This window comes from Homo sapiens, chromosome 1, assembly GCF_000001405.40.
Source record: "Homo sapiens chromosome 1, GRCh38.p14 Primary Assembly".
Lineage (NCBI taxonomy): Eukaryota > Metazoa > Chordata > Mammalia > Primates > Hominidae > Homo > Homo sapiens.
In genome coordinates, this window is record NC_000001.11 from 206,342,525 (window position 1) to 206,368,481 (window position 25,957).

General features: G+C 40.5%; 1 protein-coding gene across 18 annotated transcripts in view; it reads left to right on the top strand.

Annotated features, from left to right (window-relative positions):
• The window catches only part of SRGAP2 (SLIT-ROBO Rho GTPase activating protein 2), a 260,896-nt gene that overhangs the window by 138,984 nt on the left and 95,955 nt on the right, over positions 1–25,957 (top strand). For 17 of the 18 annotated variants that reach the window (XM_011509354.3, NM_001377444.1, NM_015326.5 and 14 more), the window contains one exon: positions 322–484. The exons of the other annotated variant lie outside the window; for it this stretch is intronic. In XM_011509354.3, coding sequence (XP_011507656.1) covers positions 322–484 — 163 coding nt within the window. The remainder of the gene's footprint in view (positions 1–321; positions 485–25,957) is intronic. 18 annotated transcript variants of the gene reach the window in all.

Sequence of the window (25,957 nt, forward strand, 5' to 3'; positions counted from 1 at the left end):
AAATGATAGAGCTTAGATGAGATGAGATAATACGTATAAAGCATTCACCAAGTTCTTAGAACATAGTAGGTGCCTAACAGATAATCCTGTTTCTCCTTGCACATCCCCTCTTCCCTCCCTCTCCTTCTTGTCCTTATTTTCTCCTTTTTTCTCCACTGAGTTTTTAGAAAAGGAGAAAACTAGAGAGGTGAGCTTCAGGAAAAATATCTTTATTTCTGGATTGGCTTTGATTGCTGTGATTTTAGGACACGGACTATAGTTGTAGATGTTGCCCTGGCTGCGTATCAACAATGACTTCTTTTCCTTGATGTTTCTTCACAGGAAGGATCAGAATGTTCTCTCTCCAGTCAACTGCTGGAATCTCCTCTTAAACCAGGTGAAGCGGGAAAGCAGGGACCATACCACCCTGAGTGACATCTACCTGAATAATATCATTCCTCGATTTGTACAAGTCAGCGAGGACTCAGGAAGACTCTTTAAAAAGGTACAGAGATATTTCTAGTCACAGAGGTTCTTGGGTGGAGCAATGACACAATTTTTAAAATCCTATTAGATATTATGTTGATTACCTGGGTGACAAAATTATCTGTACACCAGACCCCCATGACATGCAATTTACCCATGTAACAAACTTGCACATATACCCCCCTTGAACCTAAAATAAAAGTTGGAAAGAAAAAATAAAAGAAAGAATATCTTATTGGCCCACTTCATAGGCTTTCCACTAGTCATTCCCTACCACATACTTGCGGAGAAAAAAAATATTTGAATTGGCATTCCTTTCTTCCTTTCTGAGCTGAATTAATAGTAGCCTTGGGAAAGGAACCATTTGCAAGGTATAAACCCAGGGCTGGTACTATAATTCATAATCTGCATCTATTAACAAAAACTGTGTTTTGGGAAGTTTTCTTAAAGTGATTTGTGAAGCTGTTGAGCTTAAGGGGCCAACACTGTCATTTTATGTTTTCCTATTCTAGTTCATTTAGCAAACTCATATACGTTTATGTTTTTAGTTTAGTTTTCTTCCCAGGGTCTTATCTTGGCCAAGGTAGACTCAAAAGTGTGGTTATTCTTATCGTGGTATGTCTTTGTCTTTGGGTCTCTGAATGCTTTCGGAACTCAATTGTTATCGTACTTCCTTGGGTATAGGTTGAACAATTTGACAAAGGAAAACTCAAAATAATCATGATAATCTTAAGGAGCCAATTCACCTTACCTGTCAACGATGGAACTAGCCTCTTGAAAATCCAGGAAGCTCTTTTCTAAGCTGTCTCAGCTTGAGCTCAAAGTGGAATCATTTATTCATGAGGTTGGGTTACAGACAGCGGTGAAGGCCCCAACCATTGTATATGATATGCCATGTCTACCATTCAAGCATTGACATCCCCGGAAGACTTTCCAGAAGGCAAATAATCTTCCTAAAAGTTATAGGTAGAAAAAGATTATAGAGGGCTATTTAGAATTCATCAGTTTCCAGGTGACAAAATCCATTATTAAAATTTGAAAGTATGAGAGAAAAGACTGGTAAACAGGATTGTAGTCGATACAGTCAAAGCTCTTGATCAGCTTTCCAGTTCTCAGGAATTTTTCCAGATTTCACTAGATCTGGAATTAATACCCCATTTTTTTTCTGTAATTACCAGCCTGATCAAATAACTGATTTGGAATCTTCCATCTACCTAATTGCATCCGTGAAGGTGCTTTCCCTGTGTCTTAGAGACAGAATATTGAGGGTACAATCATCTGACGACGAAAAGAAGGCAGAGAAAGATAACTCCTCCCAGAGCTCACTGGCTTTTATTAGTAGCCCGGCTGTGCTGTGGTTGGGGCCACACCTCATTTTGGAGTGAGGGTACTTCTCACCATCTCCTCCATGGTTTCCAGCATCAGCTTCAGCTTGGTTGTCATTAATTTGAATTATTCTGCAATACTTGGTGATGCATGTGTGTGACTAAAATTAAAACCTATTTAGGTGAAATTTTGACAGCTCGTCTCTATGACCTTGACAGCCACTTAGACTATCTCAAGAAGGAAAGGGCTTGACTGATAGTTTCCTCCTCCGTTTTCTTTGTTCATCTGAGAAAACAACTTTTATAAGATCTGTTCACCTAGCTAGACTTCACCCAGTCTCTCAGCTCCCTTTTTACCAAGCCTTAGAAGGTTAGAGAAAAACCAGGCTAGATAATTTAATAGCCTCTCCAGATCTCAGAGATGCTTATACTGAAGGCAGCCAGATAGCAAAGTCACGAGTGTTCCTGGCTCTTCAAGTGCCCTATGCACATTTCACCAAAGGTAGGTACATGGCATGTATACAAGGTGTGGGGCATATGACATCCATGAAGAAAATTCGTCTGTGAATGATATTCCTAGCCATGGGCTCAGGGTTGACTTCCTTAAGCCGTGTATTACTATGCTAGAGCGTGAGGAAGAACTTATTTCTCATAGGACTGTTTATATATTACATTTCACTGAAGAAAAGTATGCCTATTATAATTTAATAGCTATATGCATTTTCACAAACTGAATTCACACTTGTGTAACCAGCACCCAGATCAAGAAACAGAACATTTCTGTACCCTAGAAAGCCCCTCATATTCCCTTCTAGTCATCTCCCCACCCTAAATCCCCAAGGATAACAACTGTCTTGACTTTTAACAGCAGAGATTAGCTTTGCTTGGTTTCATACTTTATATAAGTAGAATTGCACAGTATGTACTCTTTTTTGTTTGGTTTCTTTCAATATTATGTTTGTGAGATTTATTCATACTGTTGTGTATAGTTGCAGATCATAGGAATTTCTCTTGATCTTTGTAACTTTGGATCAATTAAATTGTAGTTGATTAGAGACATGCCCAGGGTTGTTGAATGGCCAATGATTACTATCCCACAGGGTGAATAATCTCTTTTCTCCCTCCCTTGGGGCATTCCCATGTAGGCAGAAAACTCTTAAATTAGGAGCTGGTTGGCAGATCATAAAAATAGATTGAGCCAAGCACCATGGATCATTCCTGTAATCCCAACAACTCAGGAGGTCAAGGTGGGAAAATGCTTGAGGCCAGAAGTTCAAGAACAACCTGGGCAACATAACAAGACCTTGTCTCTAAAAAAATTTTAAAAGTTAGCTGAGCATGGTGGCCTGTGCCTGTAGCCACAGCTACTTGGGATGCTGAGGTGGGAGTATTGCATGAGCCCAGGTGTTTGAGGATGCAGTGAGCCGTGATCATGCCACTGCACTCCAGCCTGGGCAACAGAACGAGACCCTGATAGTTTGAGGATGCAGTGAGCTGTAATCATGCCACTGCACTCCAGCCTGGGCAACAGAGAGAGACCCTGATGGTTTGAGGATGCAGTGAGCTGTAATCATGCCACTGCACTCCAGCCTGGGCAACAGAGAGAGACCCTGACTCCTAAAAAAAAAAAATTGATTCATTCTCTTTTGGCTGGGTAAAGAGCCTCTCTGCTTTCTAGTAATGGGCAAACAAACATTCTTCATACCACACCCCAGTTTTTTAACCTCTTTTGTTTAGAGTGTCGTTGCACATGAATTAGAATCCTACTGGTTAAGATATAGTATCAGATAAGAGTCCTAAGGAATGTCCTCAGCCATTCTGTAGTTACATGAATCTTCCCGGGGATTTGCTTTGTGCTATCAGAGGAGATGCCTTTTCCAAGTGACCCTTTCTCTTGGGCCTAGCTCTGCTCTTAACTCTGAGACCTTGGACAATGACTTCTTTCTGTGCCTCAGTTCCCTAAACTTTAAAAAAAGAGTGTGGTCTATGTGATCTCCATGGTGCCTTCCAAATTCAGGATACCACAGTTCTGTGACGATAAGGGGATCCTACACTGGGGGCTTCCTTCTGGTTGTTAGGTTACCTTTGTTAAATTGTGATAGGTAAATTGTAATCCCACAGATAAGGACAAACAAAAGTGGATATAGGTGTGGAGAGGGCTAGCTTAAGCAAATGAAGACCAGATTTCTTGAAGAATGAAGCATTATTTCAGGTGCTGATATCTACAGTGTCAGCAATGAAGAAATACCAAATTGGGATCCAAATACATAAAATAGATATGTTTTACCAGTAAATTTGGTTCCAGTGGCAAAAGGACCCATTTCTCTGGGGACATAGGCTTAGAAAAGATACCTTAATTTGTGGTATGGCTGTACACACCTGTGCTTTATGTGAATTTGGGTCTGTTTGTCACTAGCAAAAGTCATTTTTAAAAATCTTTTTTTAATCTATAAAACTTAATGATTCACTGCAAAAATTATGATAATAGAAGTCATTATATTTTGAACCTCTATGTGCCAGGTATTGTGTTAAGCACTTTATATGTATTATCTCCTTTAATCCTTACCATAATTTTATAAAGTAGTTACTATTGTCATCATCGCTGTTTTATGAAGGAAGAAACTATGGCTTAAAGAGATTAAGCAGGCCAGGCACAGTGGCTCAAGCCTGTAATCCCAGCCCTTTGGGAGGTTGAGGTGGGAGGATCGCTTGAAGCAAGGAGTTCAAGACCAGCCTGGGCAACATAGCAAGACTCTGTCTCTACCTCCCTCCCCCACTTAAAAAAAATTAGCTAGGCATGGTGGTACACACCTGTAGGCCTAGCTACCCAGGAGGCTGAGACGGGAAGGATCACTTGAGCCCAGAAATTTGAGGCTGCAGTGATCTATAATCATGCCACTGTACTCTAGCCTGAGTAACAGAGCCAGACCCTGTCTGTTTAAAAAAAAAAAAACAACAAAAAAACAAAAAACAAAACAGAGGGCTGAGAGCGGTGGCTCACGCCTGTAATCGCAGCGCTTTGGGAGGCCAAGGTGGGCAGATCACCTGAGGTCAGGAGTTCAAGACCAGCTTGGCCAACATGGTGAAACCCCGTCTCTACAAAAACACAAAAATTAGCCAGGCAAGATGGCCAGTGCCTGTAATCCCAGCTACTCAAGAGATTGAAGCAGGAGAATCTCTTGAACCCGGGAAGTGGAGGTTGCAGTGAGCAGAGATCATGCTGTTGCACTTCAGTCTAGGCAACAGAGCAAGACTTCGTCTCAGAAAAAAAGAAGAGAGAGAGAGATTAAGAAAAATGAAATGAAGCTAATGTTTAACTCCAGTCACCTGGCTCTAGAATCCAACGTTTTCATCTACATACTGTATTAGGATTCTCTAAGTATGTTGTACAGAGAAGAGAAAATCCTGGATTTTCTCTGTTTCATTGAATTCAGATATTTCACTTAGTTATAGAATTAACCTAATTTTTCTTTTGCACATAAACCTTCAAAGGGTATGGAGATGTTGAACATCAACATTGGATTGTTTTTCCTACCTGGGGTTGGGGCAAGCAGCTGGAAGTTGGGAATGAAATAGGGCAGCATGTTTATACTCCCCAGGGGCAAAATATCTGTGCCCCCTGTAAGAGGGAAACAAGGACTCATTAAATGTGAGAATTGGCCCCAAATCTGGCTCACAGCTAATTTAGCTAATTTAGGGATGTCAGGGTGGCTGCACAATTGGCCCCTCTATGCTATTGAACCCCCTTAAGGGAGGCTCCTTGCTAGCCCTCTGGTTTGTGGTAATGTCTGCTGGTACATATTTTACATTTTGCATGAAGCCATGTTGGAGATTCCTTTAGCTAAATATAACATCTGGAGAAAGTAGCCTCCTGTTCACAGCTTAAAAACAGACTGACTTTGTCTAGGACGAGAGGGAAAATTGAGCCCGTTTGGTGCTCCTGACATCTCCTTTCATGTAATGAAAGCTCAGTCTGTCTAACCTCTGTTGGAACCAGGGTTTGGGCAAATATTATTGCTGCCACCTTCATTTGTTTAATGCGGTGGCTTCAAAAACCATGGGCAAAAACTGCCAAGTTTGACTCCCATCTCCCTGTGGTCTCCATGAGGGGCATGTTCTAAAGAAGCCCACCAAGAACAGAAATAATTTTTCCCACTTGCTTAGTTTAAACTGAAATAAACTTGGGTGTGCTTTTTCCTACAGGAGAGAGGATAATCCTGTTTTCTCTTTTTACTTAGCTGGAACACACTAAAAGTACCTCTGACTTTGCTTTCTCAAATCACTGTTTCTAGCCCTTCACAGCTGCTCACACTTAAGCTTGGAAGCTGGTCAGTTCAGACAGTGCTAAGGCTCAGTTGCATCCTTATTTTTACAGCACTGCAGTGAACTGTACTCCTGTTTTGCTGTTAGGACTCTTAAGTTTCTATGGCAAAAATTTAGGTTAAATTGAAAAAGCCAAGTCAGATTCCCTATAGACCAGTAGCTTTCAACTTTGCCTGGGCATGAAAGTTACTTGGGGAGTTTTAAAAAAATCTTTGTGACCTTGAATAAACAAAGGTTTCTTAGAATATAAAAAGCATGAACCATAAAATTTTATAAAGGATAAGTCAGACTTCATCAAGTCTTGGACTTTTGTTCCTAGAAAGACTTTATTTACAAAATGAAAGACAAGACGCAGACTGGGAGAAAATATTTGTAATATGTATCTGACATGGACTTATATCAGATTATAGAATAAAGAACTCTGAGAACTCAGTAATAAGACAAACTACCCAAATTTTTAAAAATGGAAACAGGTTTTAATAAACATTTCACTAATAAAAATATACAAATGGCTAATCAACACATGAAAATATGCTCAATATCATCACTCGTGATGGAAACGCAAGTTAAAACTGTAAGAAGATATACCATACATTCACTAGGATGGTTAAAATTAAAACATCTGGCAATACCAAGTGTTAAGGAAGTTGGCCAGAACCCTCATATGTTGCTAGTGAGAGTGTGAAAGTGGTACAACCACTTTGGAAAATAGTGGCAGTTTCTTATGGCATTAAATTTGTACTTGTCATATGACCCAGTAATTCCAGGTATTTATAGGCATCTACCCAAGAGAAATAAAAGCATATGTCTAAACAAAGACTTGCACCTGAATATTCATAAAGCTTTTGTGATAGGCTGAGTAATGCCTCCCTCAAAAAAAAAAAAAAAAGAGGTCCATATTCTAACCTTTGGAACCTGTGAATGTTACCTTATGCATGTAATACTTTGCAGATATGACTAATTTAAGGATCTTGTGATGGGGATATTATGCTTAATTAGCTGGGTGGGCTGTAAATGCAATCACAAGTGTCCTCATAAGAAGGAGATTACAGATAAAAGAGAGGAAGGTCATGTGATAGAAGCAGAGGGAAACAGAGTCATAGAGAGAGGATGCTATGCCACTGGCTTTGAATATGGAGGAAGTGGCCATGAGCCAGTGAATACAGCTCTAGATGCTGGAAAAGGCAAGGAAACGGATTCTTCCTGAGAGCCTCCGGAGCAGAAGCAGCCCTGCTGACTCACTGGTTTCAGCCCAGTGAAATTGGTTTTGGAGTTCTGACCTCCAGAACTCTAAGAGAACAAATGTATGTTGTTTTAAGCCACCATGTTTGCAGTAATTTGTTACAGCTGCCTTAGGTACTTTATTCATAATAGCCCAAACTGGAAACAACCCAAATGTCCATCAACAGGTGAGTGGAAAAACATATTGTAGTGTATCCATATATCAATACTACTCAGCAATAAGAAGGGAAATGCTGATACAATATAAATGAGCTCAAAAAACATTATGTTGATAAAAAGAAGCCAAGCACAATGAGTACATTCTGTATGATTCTGTTTCTATAAAATTTTAGAAAAAACAAATCTGATCTATAGTGATAGAGAATAGATCATTGATTGCCTTGGGGCCAGGATGGGGATGAAGGATTGACTGCTAAGGGACACAAGGGAGTTTGTAGGGTTTTTATAGCCTACATTATATAACATTTTAAACAATGCTTTATAACATTTTTATAATGTTACATAATCTTGACCATGGTGGTACATTAGACAGACTTTATCATATTATACACTTAAAATGTGTACATTTTATTATGTAAATTATGCCTCAATAAAGTTGATCTAATTTAAAAAATACTCATGCCAAGACCCTACCCCAGCATGATTTAGTCAGAATCTCTGGAGTAGGGCCTGGGTGATTGTTGCCTACAGCTAGGGCTGAGAATCACTGCTGCACTGTTTTCCATCTTGGGGAAACTGCAGAGCACAGAGAATATCTGATGCCCTAAGATCCTGTCTATCTGTATGTGAGCCATGTTTGCCTCTGCAACAGACAGTGTTAAAGCATCTAGGCTAGTTTCTCTAGGCAACCCATTGTGGTTTCCTACTTTATTCTTGGAGGGTGATGAAGGGTGAAGTTAGCTTCAGATAAATAAATCTGGTGACAAAGGGTGAATCTGGCTTCCTTCACACTGCAGGAAGTGGGGAATGCAAGAAGAGTGCTGAGGAAGGAATGTAAGAGGCTCAGTTAATACTTTTCTCCGGGGCCTTGGAGATGTTAAACATGTCCTTTTGCCATTAGTGAATCAGTCACAAGAGAATTGCCACAACAGTCAGATTTCTTTTGGCACTAAGGAAATGAATCTGGTAGTTAAAAAGGATAAATGAGATTTAAAACTAAAAGCAGTGCATGTTACCTATCTGTTTGGTATCCATTTGGACTGAGATAGGATTTCCTATGGCGTGTCTTGAGTCCAGCTGTTTGGCATGTGTGAGAAGAGTGGATGATGAAACTGTGAGAGGGCATTTTGGGTGGTGTGATGGTCATAAATAAGAAGAGGAGAAGTGGTGACCCACAATGCTGGTATAGTTGAATGTCCCTGGTAAGTGCTGTGGATTGAATGAATGGAGGAAAAGAATGGTTTTCCAAAGGTTGTGTCCCTGTGCTCTGCCCCCTTAAGAAAGGGTTTAACTCTTTGGGAGAAGGAGTAGATGAGTGATTTAACCCTCCCTCCCTTCCCCGTCTACCATATCCCTCCTGCTCGTCTGAACTCAGTATCTGTGATTGGACTGAATTTCCTCCACATTATAGCATGGTCACTAACAGCGTTTGCACAGTGCTTTACGGACAGCTGTTCCAGTTGCCCAGTTTATCTTGTTGGTAGCAAAAATCTGTTCTAATTAATTGAGCTTTATTCTCTCATATCTGATGAAAAGATCCTCTTTGGAGAAAAGAATAGAATGTGAAGCTGAGCTTATTTGAGTAGGGGATGGAAGGCTGCCAGCTACTTCAAAGGTATCTCTGCTGATAAGGGGCGTCAGGTTTGCTGCCAAAGCCAACACCGAGGGGAGCTTTGCAGCTCGTGCTGTTGGGGGTGTTTTAGCTTTGGTTTCTGTGACACTGGGTCAGCAGCATCTGTGTGCTCTCCCTTGAGGCTGCTCTCTGGGTGGTCCAGGCTTTTATTTAGACTTCGGAAGGTGCAGCTCAAAGGGAATGTGTGCATCAAAGATGTCTGTAGTCTTTTGCTTAGGTTAGTTTGTGTGTTTGCCTTTTTGGTGTTTTAGTTCTTAGGTATCTACCTTTTCTAAAAGAGCTCAAGGTGCTATATTTAGAACTTTCAAAAGTATAATAGTACTTCGATTTGTATAAATCAAAGGATTATTAAGGGAATCTGAAGACGAGGAATGGAATATGGGAAATGGAATATGGGAAAGAGAGGTGCAGTAGACAAAAAATAAAAGTGTCCATATGCAACCTTGTATTGGAATACTACCCTAAATTAGGAGATTATACAGTCAATAAGTATTTTAGTGAATACTGCATGCACAGCATTATGCTGCTAGGTGCTTAAAAGAGCTTGAAAATCAAATTGAGGAGTAAGATTTGCCTCCCAAGGGAGCTTGGGGTTTTTGGTTTATTTAGGTCTCTCAAAACTTTCTGTGGGATGATGATGATGACAAAGTAATAATAGTAACCTTTCGTAAAATTCACACTGTGAATACCTCCCACTGTAGTAGGCCCTAGATGTGTATTTTCTCTGAACCTTTCATCTATTTTTGCAAAGTTTTTTTCCTAAACTATTTATGAAAGTATAAAATACTTAGAGAAAGTACACATATTATAAAGTGTACAGCTCAATGAATTTTTACAAACTGAATACAGCTATGTAATCAGCACCCAGATGAAGAAAGAATGTTACTAGTATCCCATGAACCCTCCTTCTCTCCACTTCAAGTCATTACTCTCTGAAGGGTAACCATTATCCTGACTTCTAACACAATATAAGTATTTGCCCATTTAAAAATTTGTTTGTGTAAATGGAATCAGATAATTTTTTTCAACAACTTGAATATGTAATTCACTTGCCTTCTGGCCTCCATTATTTCTGATGAGAAATCAGCTGTGGTTCTTAGATTCTTATTATTGCTTACTTGTATGTAATATATCATCTTTTTGTTTGTTTGTTTGTTTGTTTTAAAGAGATGGAGTCTCTGTCCCCCAGGCTGGAGTCCTGTTGCATGATTACAGCTCACTGTAGACTCAAACTTCTGTGCTCAAGCAAACCCAGTCCTTCCATCTTGGCCTCCCAAAGTGGTGGGATTACAGGCGTGAGCTGCCATGCCCAGCCCTTCTTTATTTGGCTGCTTCCAATATTTATTCATTATCTTTGGTTTTTAGTTCTTTGATTATCATAAGAGTGTAAGCGTGGTTTTCATTGTATTCCTTTGGCTTGGTTAAATATAATATCCAGACAATCCCTGATCTGTCAAATATCTAATTTGTAGAAATTGTAGGAAAAATATCAATTTTTTCCTCAATTTGAGAAAAATTTTTGGCAAATATTTTTTTCTGTCCCATCTCTCCTTCCTGTTTTGCTTTGTTATCAATTGCATGTATGTTAGACTACTTGATTCAGTCCCACAGCTTGTTAATATTCTGTCCATTTTTTTCAAATTTTTGTTTTCTGTATGCTTTAGTTTAGATGATTTCTAAAGTTTACCAATTTGGCTGGGCATGGTGGCTCACACCTGTAATCCCAGCACTTTGGGAGGCCAAGGTGGGTGGATCACTTGAGGTCAAGAGTTTGAGACCAGCCTGGCCAACATGGTGAAACCCCGTCTCTACTAAAAATACAAAAATTAGCTGGGCATGGTGGTACGTGCCTGTAATCCCAGCTGCTCAGGAGGCTGAGGCAGGAGAATCACTTGAACCCAGAAGGTGGAGTTTGCAGGAGGCTGAGGCAGGAGAATCACTTGAACCCGGAAGGTGGAGTTTGCAATGAGCTGAGATTGTGCCACTGCACTCCAGCCTGGGAGACAGAGCAAGACTCCATCTCAAAAAATAAATAAATAAATAAATAAATAATTAAAACAACCAATTCTTTCTTTTGTTCACCTAAGATGCTATAAATGCCATCCAATGAATTTTTTTTATTTCAGATTTTTTTTTTTTTTTTTTTGAGATGGAGACTCACTTTGTCACCCAGGTTGGAGTACAGTGGTGTGATCATAGCTCACCGTACCCTCAGACTCCTGGGCTCAAGTGATCCTCCCACCTCAGCTTCTCATGTGTCTGATACTACAGGTGTGTACCATCATGCTTGGCTAATTTTTTTAGAGATGGGGTCTCGCTGTGGTGCCCAGGCTAGGCTTGAACTCTGGGGCTCAAATGATCCTTCCCCTTCAGCCTCCCAATTATTGTATGGATATTTTTAAAACATAGTTGGCAATTACTTAAAAATCCTTGTTTGCTATTTTTAACATTGACATTATCTGTGGGTCTGTTTATTGATTTTCCTCTTGACTTTTTTTTACATGCCTACTAATCTTTTATTGCATATTGGACATCATAGATAATATGTCATAGAAACTCTAGGTGTACTTATCTTCCTCTGAAGAGTATGAAGTTTTATTCTAGGAGGCTATTAAATTACTGGTTGATCACCTTGATCTTGTGGGGGCTTGGCTTTATACTTCATTACAGTGGGTATATTTTGGTTTTGCCCTTCGTCTTAGAAAATACTGTATACTTAAGGCATGGCCTTTCTGGGGTTTTCATGGGAAGCCCAAGATGTTTATCAAGCCCCTCTAACTTGGCAGGCTTTGAATGCCAAATTCTATCTTCCTTACAGTGGGCAGCACCTAAGACGACCAACTATCCTGTTTGCCTTGGGCTGAGGGGGTTCCTAGGACATGAGACTTTTAGTTTATCTGTTCAATTGTTGATGGCATTTGGATAGTTTTCAGTTTGAGGCTATTATGTATGTTATAAATAATGCTGCTATGAACATTATAATGGGAAGTTATTCTTTCCAATGTATGGTTGAACCTGGTCACAAGCCAGGCTTTAAGAATAGTGAATTCAAAACCTTTTCTCTCTCTTTCTCTCTCTCTCTCCTTCTCTCCCTCCTCTGTCTCTCTCCCTCCCCCCCTTCCTTCTCCCCTCTGCCTTCTCTTCCCTCTCCTTTCTCTCTTCCTTTTCCTCTTTCCTTCTCCCTCTCCTTGTTTCCTCCCTCCCTTCCTTTTCTCTATTCTTTTGAATAATCTTTTAAATTTTATAGTAGATGTATGTTATAGAAAATTTAAAAATACAGAAAGCAAAAATATGATATAAAGAACAGATTTATTGTACATACTATTTTGTAATCTACTGTTTTAGTCAAGACCTTCTCCTTTACATTTCAATAAACTTTTGTCTCATCTAATACCCAGGCCATGTTAAAGATTTAATTAATTACTCAAAAAATCTCTTTGACAACTAGTTTGTCCAAGCCAGTATCTAATGCACACAGTTTTATGTCCCTTAAGTGTACTTTAATCTAGTATTATTTTCTTTCCATGAAACTGATTTGTTGAAAAGGCCAAGCCAGATGTCCTGCAAAATCTCCCATCTTCTAGATTTGTTTGGTTGTTTACTTGTGTTGTTAAGCTTCTGCCCGTATCCCATATTTCCTGTAAATTGGAAGTTGGTTCTAAAGGTCCAAGTGGATTCAAGTGACTTAGAATGCATAATAAGTGATGTTAGTACTTCATGTAGCATCAGAGCAGGAAATACATAACATCTAGTTAGTCTACCGATAGTGATGCTAATATTGGCACCCTCTAGAATAGGGCTGTGATAGTCTGACCCTTCCATTTTCTAGTTACATTTTTTAAATCACATGATAGAAACCTGATTGTAAGGTGTTATTCATGGTGCCAGCCTACAAATATTGGGTGCCAGTTCAGTCATTCGTCTGATAATTTTAGTATCAGTTGATAATTTTAGACAAGTTACTTTTTGTCATCTTTGTACCTCTCTTACTTGACTATAAGATGCCTCTCTGAGGCTGGGCACAGTGGCTTATGTCTGTAACCCCAGCACTTTGGGAGGCGGAGGCAGGTGGATCACCTGAGGTCAGGAGTTTGAGACCAGCCTGACCAACATGCTGAAACCCTGTCTCTACTAAAAATACAGAAATTAGCCAGGCATCGTGGTGTATTCCTGTAATCTCAGCTACTCAGGAGGCTTAGGGAGGAGAATCGCTTGAACCTGGGAGGCAGAGGTTGCAGTGAGCCAAGATTGTGCCATTGCACTCCAGCATGGGTGACAGAGCAAAACTCCGACTCAAAAAATAAATAAATAAATAAATAAAATAAAAATGCCTCTCTGAGAAAAGGAGAGGATTGTTAATACAGCTCATCAGGCACCATGCAAATAGTAGTTTGTAAAAACGTATTAGTCTTGGGAGAAACCACACACACGAATAGTGTGCAAGCTGACTAGGTGTCAATTTGTTATTATTAAGAATCACAGCAATAATTTTTTTAAAAAAAGCATAATTCTAAATGAATGCTAACCATGCCTAGGGACTGTGCTAGGTGTTTTACATGTATTAACCTATTTAATCTCATCACAACGACACTTTGAGATGAGTACTGGTTTTATCATCCCCATTTGTAGATAAGAGCATGGGCAAAGGGTTTAAGCAATTTACTGAAGATTATACAGCTGGTTGATGGGAGAAATGGGATTCAAGCCTAGGCAGTTGGCTTCCCCTGATCTCTTCACATCATCATGCTCTGCTGCCTTGCATGTAGGAAGGTGGCAGTCATATTGGTAAGCTAAAGAACCAGTGCTTGTGCAGGGAATTAATGACTCATGCATTCTGCAGTCATATGTTGCTGTGCTTCTGTCAGGTCAGAATTTCCATTGTGCTATTCTGATTCTGCTTCTTGCCCAGCTTGTCCAGAGAGAGAGTAGCACCTTTGATTTTAGCCTCCCTTGTTGCAGGACAGGCTTCTGTTGACTCCCCTATTTATCTTTGTCAAGACTTTTCCTTTGAATTCCTCCCTGCTTGTCTGAGCATGATTTTTATTTAAAGTGAGGACAAAATTTAAGTTTTCCTCCTTTTGACACAGCGTCTTCAGTTTTTTTTCATTTTCATCTTCTTTCCTTACAATACTGGACTTTCTCTGGTCTTTTAGTTTTTCTACTAGATCCTACCTTTCTTTGCTTTTAAGCCCAGCCCTTGGGGTTTTTTGTTTTGTTTTCTTTTTTTTTTTCCTTTTTCTCTGTTCTCTACAAATCATTTGGGTCTACATCCAGCTTCTCCCAGCATTTACTCAATATGAAACTTCCAGTTATAGATTAATTTGAATTCTTTGCACTAATTGTTTAAAAGACCATAGGAACCTCAGACCATCCCTCTTCATGGTCTCAAGAGCTCCCAGAATCATCCTCTTGGTAAGCTAAGTAGTTATTAGTAAGGCCCAGGGACAGGACTGAGAAGTAACATCTTCTATTTTTTATTTCAGTTTTCCTTTAAGTTGGAAGCAAACAAACAAAAAACCCTTCAGCTTAGGGTTTTTTCAATTGTTAAAGTAATACTGAGCTTCAGTTAAGGCTATGAAAGAAAAGAAAAAATTTTAAAAAGTAGTAACGTGTTTTTTTCAAGATATTGTGGGTAAAAACATAATAAAAAGAAAATAATAATTACTTGGAATCATGATTAACATTTTGATGTATTTCCTTCCAATCTTTTTTATACACATTTTTTTAAAAATGAGAGTTACATTATATATTAAGCTTAGTGTAATTTTTTTCATTTAACATTTGGAGAAGCATTTTTATCATGTCATTGCATCTTCTTTTAAATGTTGCCTATATGATCATACAGCAGTCTGTAGTCTGGCTGTCCCTTAGGTTTTTCATATATTCCTTATGGTTCTTTGGCTATGTTGTCTTTTTTTTTTTTTTTTTTTTTTGGAGATGGAGTTTCTTTTTTTCAGGCTGAAGTACAGTGGCGTGATCTTGGCTCACTGCAACCTCCGCCTCCCGGGTTCAAGTGATTCTCGTGCCTCAGCCTCCCGAGTAGCCGGGATTACAGGCGTGGGCTACCACATCCAGCTAAGTTTTTTGTGTTTTTTTAGTAGAGGTGGGGTTTCACCATGTTGGCCAGACTGGTCTTGAACTCCTGAACTCAAGTGATCTGCCTGCCTTGGCCTCCCAAAGTGCTGGGATTTCAGGCGTGAGCCACCACGACCAGCTGGCTGTTGTCTTGACTCTCCCCTGGACTATGTTCTTGTACATCTAGAAGCAATTAAAAATCTCATTGTTGTCTTTTTGGAAATCACTTGTTTTTAGGATGACTAGGTAGCCAAGGCTTTCATTTGGAAATACCCTACTTCCATTTAATATAAGGTAAGGAGAGAGGGTTTTTCCCCCTGCTGCTTTCCCTTTTTCTTCCTCTTCTGTCTTGCTCATTGTCTTAGAGCTTAGCTGAGAATCAGTGCTACGCCTGAGCTTGGGCCCTGGCTGGCTCAGTGGAGTTCTTTCACCATGCTGAGTTTCACTTTCCTCATCTTTACACTAATGAAATTACTCATACCCTCACTGTTCCTTCTCAGAATGCTATAGGCATCAGTAAAACCTGGGAACAAAGTGCTCTGCAAAGTTATGTTATGGTCAGAAGGTATCTGGTTGTGTTCATGCAGAAGAGCGTGTGTCTTGTGCCTTCGCCCAGCTAGGGTGGTCTTTGCAATCTCTAAGCTAATCTTTTTTTAGCGGTATATTATCATATAGGCTAGAAAGGAAATACAGAGAACAAACTGGGAGATCCAGTCTCCAACTTTAATCATCTCTTCTCCAAAGCCAAGATAATCCAAGCCTTCTGCCCACATAAGCATTGCATCCCTTCCTGCCTTGCCTCTTCCCATGACCTTGTTTTTCTTTTGATGTTCATTTTGAGGGTGGAGAGTAGAAAAAGCATTCTCTTTTTGCTGCTCTCAGAGTCAGTGGTCTTTCTGGACCTTTAAGTTCTCAGGCAAGGAAAACCACATAGTCTACCTGAGCTTTCAGGGACTGAAGGAAAAAAAAAAGTATTGCTTTACTCAAATTCAGGACCACAAATAACCACTACCAACCCATTCAGTTGAGTTTAATAATATTATTTTATTGTCTGTAATTGCTCGGTATTCAAGTTGGCAGTATAAAAGGCCTGCAGAGCAAGCTTAAAACATGGTTCAAGATCTTAGATTTCTTACATCTCAGGTGAAAGACAGACCATAGACTCCCAAAGCAGGTTACAATTTAGATAGCAATGTAATGAGTCGTACAGACAATTTGTTGTCTATAGGATCTTGGAAAAAAAACAGATTCATGAAAAGTGAGTCAGGAGAGCTTCATAGAGGGGAAAGAATTGGGCCGATGTTCTTTTAATTACCTGCTGCCAGGATTCTCAATTAGCCATCTGTTTCTTATCTTACAGAAATATCTTTTGAAGATTTCCATATTATCTGATTCCAAGTTCCTTTCCTGCCTCTTTGTCCCCATTAGAGATGTCACTCATGAGGACAGTCTGACAGCAGAGACTTCCTTTTGACCAGCAATGGGAGAAATATGTGGAAATAGCCTGAAGCCTGAGTATAGAAGGCTTTGAATGCCAGTCCAAGGAGTTCAAACTACAGGTCAAAGAGAGCCATTGACAATTTTAGGCAGGGCAATGAAATCTTGAAAACCATGATTTCCAGTGGCATTGGCAGCAGTACTCAGTGTGGTTTAGCATGGAAGAAACTATATAGGAGCCTGCTACAATAATTCAGAGGGATAATAGAAACTTGGATAATGACAATGGGAACTAAAAGAATTAGATTTACCAGAAGGCAGAGGAAAGACATTATAGACAGGACTGAGTGGCCTGACATGAGGTGGGAGGAGGTCATTCAACTTAGTCATTCAGCAGTTCACTTAGTCATTCAGCAGATATTTACAGTGTGCCTCCCATGTTCCAGGCACTGTGCTAGGCACTGGAATATAGCAGATAACAAAAAGTTCTTGCCTTCATGGAGCTTATATTCTAATAGTTGAAACAGATAATACATAAAAAAGTAAATATATAATATATCAGATGATGATAAAATGAAACAGGGCAAAGAGGATGGGGTACAAGGGATATTGCTCTTTTTTTTTTTTTTTTTTTTTTTTTTGAGACGGAGTCTCGCTCTGTCGCCCAGGCTGGAGTGCAGTGGCGGGATCTCGGCTCACTGCAAGCTCCGCCTCCCGGGTTCACGCCATTCTCCTGCCTCAGCCTCCCAAGTAGCTGGGACTACAGGCGCCCGCCACTACGCCCGGCTAATTTTTTGTATTTTTAGTAGAGACGGGGTTTCACCGTTTTAGCCAGGATGGTCTCGATCTCCTGACCTCGTGATCCGCCCGCCTCGGCCTCCCAAAGTGCTGGGATTACAGGCGTGAGCCACCGCGCCCGGCCGATATTGCTCTTTTATATAGGGTGGTCAGAGACGGCTTCACTGATAAATTGGCATTGGAACTGATTCTTGGAGGAAATGAGGGATTTTGCTGTTTAGCTCTTTGAGGAAGGTATTTCAGGCAGAGATAATAGTGCACATCTAAGGCCATGAGATGGGAATGCGCTTATCTGGTTTGAGAAACAGTAAGGAGACCTTGTACAGAGTAGGCAAGAGGAAGAGTGGTGGGAGATGTGGTCTGGGGCAGCGAGCAGGTTTCTTCAGGAAGGGCCTTGGAGGCTACTGGAGGACTGGAGAGGCATGATACAGTCTGACTTCTGTTTAAATGGGATTATTCCAGCTTCTGTGTGAAGAGAGTGCTTTAGGAGGAGTAGGGTGGAAGCAGCAAGGGAAGACCAATTAAGGGAGCTTCTATAAATAATTAGGGCAGGAAATCATAGTGGATTGAAACAGGGTGGAGCTGTGGAGATGGTGAGAAGTGGTCAAATTCTGGGATATATTTTGAAGATGGAGCCAATAGGATTTGCTGCTTGATTGATATGGTGTATGAAAAAAATAGCAGTCGAAGATGACCCCAAGCATTCTGGCCTGAACAATTCGAAGTTGGAATTGCCATTTATTGAGGGAAGTGTGTGGAAGAGCCACTGATTCTAGTCAAGCCCTGTAATTCATGAAGAATCTGAGAGCCAATGAGAAGTAACTTGCCTTAGTTTACCCAGTTAGGTAGTAGTTGAGATGTGACTGAAACTACCAGGTCTTCTAAATTCTACTCACTGCTCTGTCCAGTACATACCATATTTCTGACTTCAGCTTTAGACATGGTAAAGGGAAGGTTTAGTGAGGGCAAGAGCTAGAAGAAGACTTGAAAATTAACCACACAAAAGACCAGTTGAGGTCATGAAAGGGTATTCAGAGTAAAGGGTAGTTGAGGCCTAGAAAGAAGACTTTGAAGAGCTAGCAAAGAAGAGAGAAGAACAAATTAAAATGGGCAAAAGGAAAATGAGAGTAATATGGCTCAAAGGACTTAAGAGAGAAGAAGACTCAATGATGAGTTCTATGAAGGGGTCAGGAAGAATGGGAACTGAACAAATGTCATTAGATTTGGGTTTTAGAATCTTGGGAAACTGTGGTGCCTACAACTTAACCTCCTTTAAAATTTTAAGCACTTTTCTTGCCGTTTCAGCTAATAAGGAGAAGGAATATAACAGGGTAAGCCTGAGACAGAGAATTAAAAACAAATTTACTTCCAACTCCTGCATTACCTTCTTGTGAATCCTACACAAGAATTTGACTTTCCCAGACTCCCATATGCCCATCTATAAACTGAACAAGAAGCATACTTCTTGCCCACTTTGCCTCCTGGAGATCCTGTGAGGATAACAATGACAAAGGATAGGAAACTGCTTTGGAAGAGAAATGCTACATAAATCAAGATATCCTTTTCTAGCTGACTTTAAGTTTTTAATTTAAGAAAAATTCTTGAAAGAGTCACAAAAAACTTTACTTTAGAGATACACTAAATGCAGGACGTGTTGACTGATAAAATAGATATTCTTCTTGGAAACAATGGAAAATACTTCAGTATCATTTTGATTAAATCTTGCTTAATAACTGTTCATTAGACTCATATCAAATCCTGTCTTGGCTTTGTTATTTAATTTAATTTAATTTTGTAGTCATTGTTACCCAACCACAAAAGAATTACCCCTGTGCTTAAGGCCACACAGATTTTTCAAACATTGATATATCAGCATTGGTCCTTCTGATGAAACACAAGATGAGGTTTTCCCTGCTGAGTGTCAGGCAGTCTGTCTCAAGCTGCAGGCTGAAGCCCCAGTGGAATCTAATTCCATCCTTCCAGTCCCCTTCATACGAAGAGTGGGAAATAGTGGGAATGGAAATTAATTGTACCTGCTGGCATTATTAAAGTTATCAGTGCGTATCCCCTCTTGGGCCAGGAAGATTAAAAAGGCTGTTGTAATCAGAGCACATGATTTCTGACACACTGGATGGGCTTCCTCCCCAGGTTAGATGTAAGGAAGTGATCTGAGCTTGTTGCCTCTGGCCTGATACCACATAGCTCGGGGCTATGCAGTGTCTGCCTCATCCTCCCATCAGCCCTGGAGGAAAGCCAGGATCCTGCTCTCTGAATCAGAGATCTCTTAGTTGGAAAATCAGGCCTTCTCACTTAAGACTAGTGTATTCTGGCTGCGCATTCCTCACAAGATGTAGTCAGGTTAGGTTAGACCTTAGAGTCACACCTTGTTCAGGTTCAACCTGAGTGAAATAAGGAATTGAGGTGCTGCTCCCTGGTGATTCAGCTCATTTTAGCAAGTGTTTATTAAATGCTTTCCCCAAGCACCACACCAGGCCCAGACAATTCTGCCTGTACACATCCTGTGGTATTTGTTGGTTGGAGGAAAGAGGCTCTTGTAGTTTATGAATTAAAGAAAAAAAATTCCTGATCTGGGAATGAGAATCTTATCCTACGTTTCACACTGACTCACAGCCTAACTTTGACTGTGAATGCCGCCTAACTTTGTAACCTGTCTAGGACTTAGTTTTCTAATCTGTAAGATAATGGTTTGGACTAATCTCTCTAAGATTTATCTCTGAAATTCTGTAATTAAGTGAGGGAATTTCTATGAAAGTGCTTGGCAAACCATTGGGCTATTATGATAGTTCTAAGTGGAAACAGTATGTTTCCTCAATACACAGTGAATTGAGTTCTGACTCTCTGGGGCAGATAGATTTCTGACTTTCTGGGCCATGTGTTGAGAATATGAAGATGGCTGATGTGGCCCCTGATATTGAATACAGTGTCTAGTGGGAGAAATAGACATGCACATAAGCTATGATGATACAGTGTAATAATGGGTTCTTGGGTGGAGGGAAATATGAGGTGAGGTTTGCCTTATGATGTCCTTTGTATCTTAGGAAGAATGGGAGTGTAGGAGAGGGGAGCATAGGGGATTTCTGGGAGATAAAACCATTTATGCAGAAAGCAAGGAAGTATAATAGATGAAAAGCGTTCCGGAACTACAGGTGGTGTGGGTGAGGATGGCTGCACACAGGTCCCTTGTAGGGGAGTGGCAAGCGATGAGGCTGAGGAGGTGGGCAGGGCCTTGCCTGCCACATCAAAGGGCTTATACCCTGAAGCCAGTGAAGCAGAAGCCCCTGTAATGTTATTGTTTTAACTTCTTATTTTGAGATAATTTCAGACTTAAAGAAAGATTGCAAAGTAGTCCAGAAATTCCTCTGTACCCTTAACCCAAATTCCCCAAATGTTAAAATCCCATCTTTCCAATATTTGGGGGCGAGATTTTTAAAAAATCTCGTATAAGCACAGTACAATGATCAAAATCAGGAAATTAACACGGAGGTAATACTATAATCTCTCAATCTTACTGAAATTTCACTTGTTGCCTTGCTAATGTCCAATTCAAATTTCTGGTTCAGGGTTCAGTTTAGGATCACACATGATGTCGAGGTGAACTGTCATCTTAGTATCCTCTAATCTCTGACAGTTCCTCTGTCTTGCTTTGTCTTTCATGGTTTTAAAGAGTTCTGGTCAGTTATTTTGTAGAATGTTCCTCAATTTTGGTTTGTTTGGTTTCCTCATGGTTGGATTCAGTTTAAGCAATTTTGGCAAGAACACCGTAGAAGCGATGTCATATTTTTCTTAGTGCGTTATATCAGGAGGCACTTGCCGTTGATTTGTCCCCATTACTGACGGTGATAATTTTAATTACTCGGTGAGGATGGGTGTCCCCTTTGCAGTGTAATAAATGTCTTGTGAAGATACTATGTAAATATCCTATTTCTCCTCATCTTTTGCTTACTAATTTTTAGCATGCTTGTTAACTGAAACAATCCTACTAGCGGATTTTACCAAGAGAGTGCCATGGACAGATTTGCCTTTTAGAAAGATTACTCTGAAATGTTTGGATGTGAGAGAGATGTGAGAACAGGGAAAAAGTTACTACAGTAGTTCATTCAAGAGCGGGGCCCTGATCTAAGGCAGTGAGAGGAGGAGTAGAGAAGACAGAAGAGCCATTTAGGCTATGTTTGGAATCAATAAGCAGGGTTTACATTTTGTGCTATAGATTTAAATGCTGGAAAAATTCTGAAATGGGGGGAAATATCACATTTTTTATAGATTAACAGGCATCTATATAACCTCTGGGTTGCTCTTCTTTTTTTTTTTTTTTTTTTTGAGATGGAGTTTTGCTCTTGTTGCCCAGGCTGGAGTGCAGTGCGCGATCTTGACTCACTGTAATCCCCGCCTCCCAGGTTCAAGTGATTCTCTTGCCTCAGCCTCCCGAGTAGCTGGGATTATAGTATGTGCCACCATGCCTGGCTAATTTTTGTATATTTAGTAGAGACAGGTTTTCACTATGTTGGCCAGGCTAGTCTCGAACTCTTGACCTCAGGTGATCCACCCGCCTCGGCCTCCCAAACTGCTGAGATTACAGGCATAAGCCACTGCACCCGGCCCTGGGTTGCTCTTCTAAGAATAGCTGACTTTATTAAACATATTGTAGGTTTCATTAAATGATGTTTCACAAGGTGTTGCTTCTCCTGGACCAAATTCCTGTTGTTCAGCTGAGAGCTATTTCTAATCTCCAGTGTGGATGTGCTCATCATTTGGTTATAGGATGTGAGCAAATGAGATGGTGTTCTGCGTAGCCCAGAGGCTGCTTCCATTAGCCCTTTCCCGAAACTTTTGCCACTTTCAGGCTTAGCAGTATCCTCTCTTGGGTTCAGAATGCCTGCTCTTTGCCCTAATACAAAACCTAGAGCTGTAGGCCATGTTCTTATGATTTGACAGTATCAGGGAAGCATTTCTTATTGACTTTTCCAGAGAAAGAGAGAAAATAAGCAAGCCGGCAACAAGACAGAGGGGAAAAGGGAAGTGGCTCAGTTCTTACTTTAAGAAACAACATGGAAGATATGTTTGTTGATTTGAGGGTGGTGAATTTTTGCACTATAGCTTTGTGAGGGAGCTGGAAAGAGCCTTTCAGTTTTTCATGACTGGGAGTTTAATTTGGTTTATAACATTACTTAAAGATAACTTTGAAATTGGTCTAAGAACTTAGGGTTGTTCCTGACCCCAGGTCAATGGCCTACTTGACCTAGGCGAGAGGAGAAAGAGTTAAGGATAGGGAGTTGAGCTTTTTGCTCCAAAATCTATAGAGGGTACACCCCTCTTATATTCTGGAGTCTTACTGGGTTTCTGAAAATGCCCTTGTGGGTCATGAAACAATAGTCCTTTGAATATTTTTCTGCCGCTGCTGATGTGAGCTGCTTAAACTGGCAGGCAGATGATGGAAGGAATGGTTACATGTCCCAGGCGGGAGGTCATGACAGTTGGATCTGTGGTTGACAGAAGAATTTCAACACACATTCAAATCAGCTCCTAAGATAGATTGTCTGAGTTCCCTGGGCCTGCCTCATGCCCTCCTCAAATGCATTTGACTCCTTCTGGCCCGTAATACTCACACTTCAAATGTTTGGCTTGGCGTCCACAAATCAACTCAGGGCCGGGGTAGGCGTACTGATGAGCAGTGATGCCCTCTTTGGGAGCTACCACAGCATAGGAAATGAACATTAGACCAGGAATCAGGTAACCTGGTTGGGGACCCAGGGCTCTAGATGGTTTATTTTTTTATTTTCCTTATTGGTTAAATTCCCTACCGCAGTTTTGACATTCTCTTCTGGATACTGACTGTGGTCTAGAGAAACAGCTAAGGAAGGCAAATCTGAATTAAAATCTGGTTCTTGGGAAAGAACTGAAGTTTTCAGATTTTGCAAAATTATGGAGAGTGCAGACTAGGAGAAAAAGGACAGGCATAGTTGTGACAAGGAGCTCTTTTTTCTAGTTCTGCATTCTAGAAACAGTACTGATGAGTCCAAAAATATAGAGATAAAATTTGTCTTTTTTCTTGCTTTAAAAAAGAAATGCTTCTAAATGTCTACATACTTGCCTAAGAAAATATTTCTCAACTCCTCCAGAATATTTAGGGTTAACTAAAAATTATAAAAACATACCACAGAGCTAGTCCACTCTTTATGCCTAGGGTTTACCCAAAAGGTGTGCATGCTCTGGCTTGGAGACCCTGACCCCATCTCAACTTGCTGGTTTCAAGTCTACATATTTGGCTGCAAAGCCCTAATGCCAGGAGGAATGCGGAACTGATGAGTCCACCCCATCTACAAGCTAGAAGGACATCTTGATTAAATTAGTGTCAAGGGGGGTGGAGAGAAAGGCACAGTGACACAAAGGGTGTTTTGAGGAGCCCTGTAGCGCCTGTGGAGAATGAATGTTCTCGTTAAATATGGCCGTGACCTGCAGCTCCACACATGCCAGAGACACAGCTCAATTGTCCCCAGGATTTGGGGGGTGGGGACGATCATGGGGAGAGGACAGCCTGGCATGGAAAGGCAGGAATGCAGGAAGGCCTGTTGTTGTTTTCTTTTTGCGATAACTACAGCAAGCAATTCTTTGATCATGGTCCTTGTGTTTGTGTTTGGAAGGGATCAAGAAGCGATTTCCTTTCCCCTGGGTGTTTGAACCTTTGCTCTGCTCCTTGCTTCTCTGGGTATTAAGGGGACTCCTGAAAGCCCCCATTGTCTTCAGCCTCTTTCCACCCCCTTCCTTGGGGCTCCCCAAGAAGATTGTTGCCTGAACTCTGTAGGGCAAGAATGAGAAGCAGTGCCCCCAAGACAGTGCCTACCCTTGTCATTTACCCACCATCCTCATCTCATTTATCCTTAAGTCCCAAGACCAAAGCAAAGAACACATGGGCTGTTGAAGGCTTCCACAGGACTGCCCTGGTCAGTGGGAAAGCAGTAATGCTTTCTAGCTGGGTAACCCCTTGGCTGAGTTCCATCTGCACTGTGGCCAGGGTGCGTGGTGAGACATGCTTTTGCCATTTGCCCTTTGAACTGCCAACAATCCCAATGTAGCAAATGGATTTAAAGCTGATTGAGTTTTAGATTTCTTTCCTTTAACCAGAATATTCTAGCAGCTTATTTTTATAGTTCTGCTTATATGATTCTCTTTTTAACAGATGGAATCACAACCTTTTCTGCAGTATATATCTGATGAATTTAAAAACTGATACATCAAGAATATTCTTTTGTATATGTCTTTCTTGCTGTGAAAATTTATGGCCTTTCTTCCCCCTATCTTCGCTCTGTAATTATTAGGTGCTTACTATATGCAAGGTATTGTATAAGATTAGGAGAATACAGATAAGACAAAATAGCATTGAAGGAGTTTATGAGTTCAATTCCAACTTCACCAATTAATAGTTGTTCTCATGGACAAATTTTTTGACCTCTCTAAGCTTTAGCGTCTGTAAGTACTAAGTGCTTTTTGTGCAGAGAGATGTAGAGAGGTGAAATTTGAGCTGGGTTTTTAGTGAATGAAAATGATTTCAGTAATTAAAGATGAAAAAGTACGGAGTTTGTGAGCATGGAGGGGGAGCTGGAGTCAAAGGATATTCCATATGGAAGAACAGGCTTCAGGATGAAGGAGAGCACCGGAATGTGTGAGGACTCTTCAGAGGGTGGTGAGTAAAAATAGTTTGGCTAAATCAGAGTGTTAATGAGGAGAGCAGCTTGAAACAAAGCCGAAAAGAGCCTCGAATGCCAAACTTGGAGTTTGAACTTCATTCTGAGAGCACTAGGGAACGATGGAAGACCTACTCATAGGGAAATGATAAAATATTGCTGCTATTTCCGAAAGACTGGGCCTCTAATTCCAGGACAGGGTAATAAGAGCCTGAGATGTGGTAGCAGTGACAGGAGGAATGAAAAGAAGGAGACAGATGCCAGACATATCATGAAGGAGAAATGAACAGCGTATGGCCACTTATTGGAAAGAGAATTCGAAGTCAGCGATTACTTCTTTCAATTTTTTTATGCTAGTGCCACTTAGGAAAAGCCAGTGTGCTGTTACAGAATTTGAGGTGGCTGGTGAAGCTGACATTTTCACATATGTCTCAGGAACTAGATGCCCAAATCTTTCTCAGACCCCAGATGGCCCCATATAGAGCTTTTATACGTGCCAATTTTTAGAATTTCTTGTAGAGTTCCTCCATTTGGTGGTCACCAGAGGATCTCTGAGATTAGTATCTGGATTCTTAATCATTCAGCTAATTTCAGAGATGTCCTTTATTTGAGGTAGATTTAACCTCCTTTTTCTGTTTGATGGAGTGTGGTTTTTGAAAAGTCCCTAAGGAAGTAATGTGAAACCATACTTGAAACCTCAGGCTTGCTTCTCTCTTGTTTTACCAGAATGCTTTGGTTACCACGTCCTGGGAAATGAACAACTTAAAACGTAAGTGTGGCAAGCCTTCACTATCACCAGT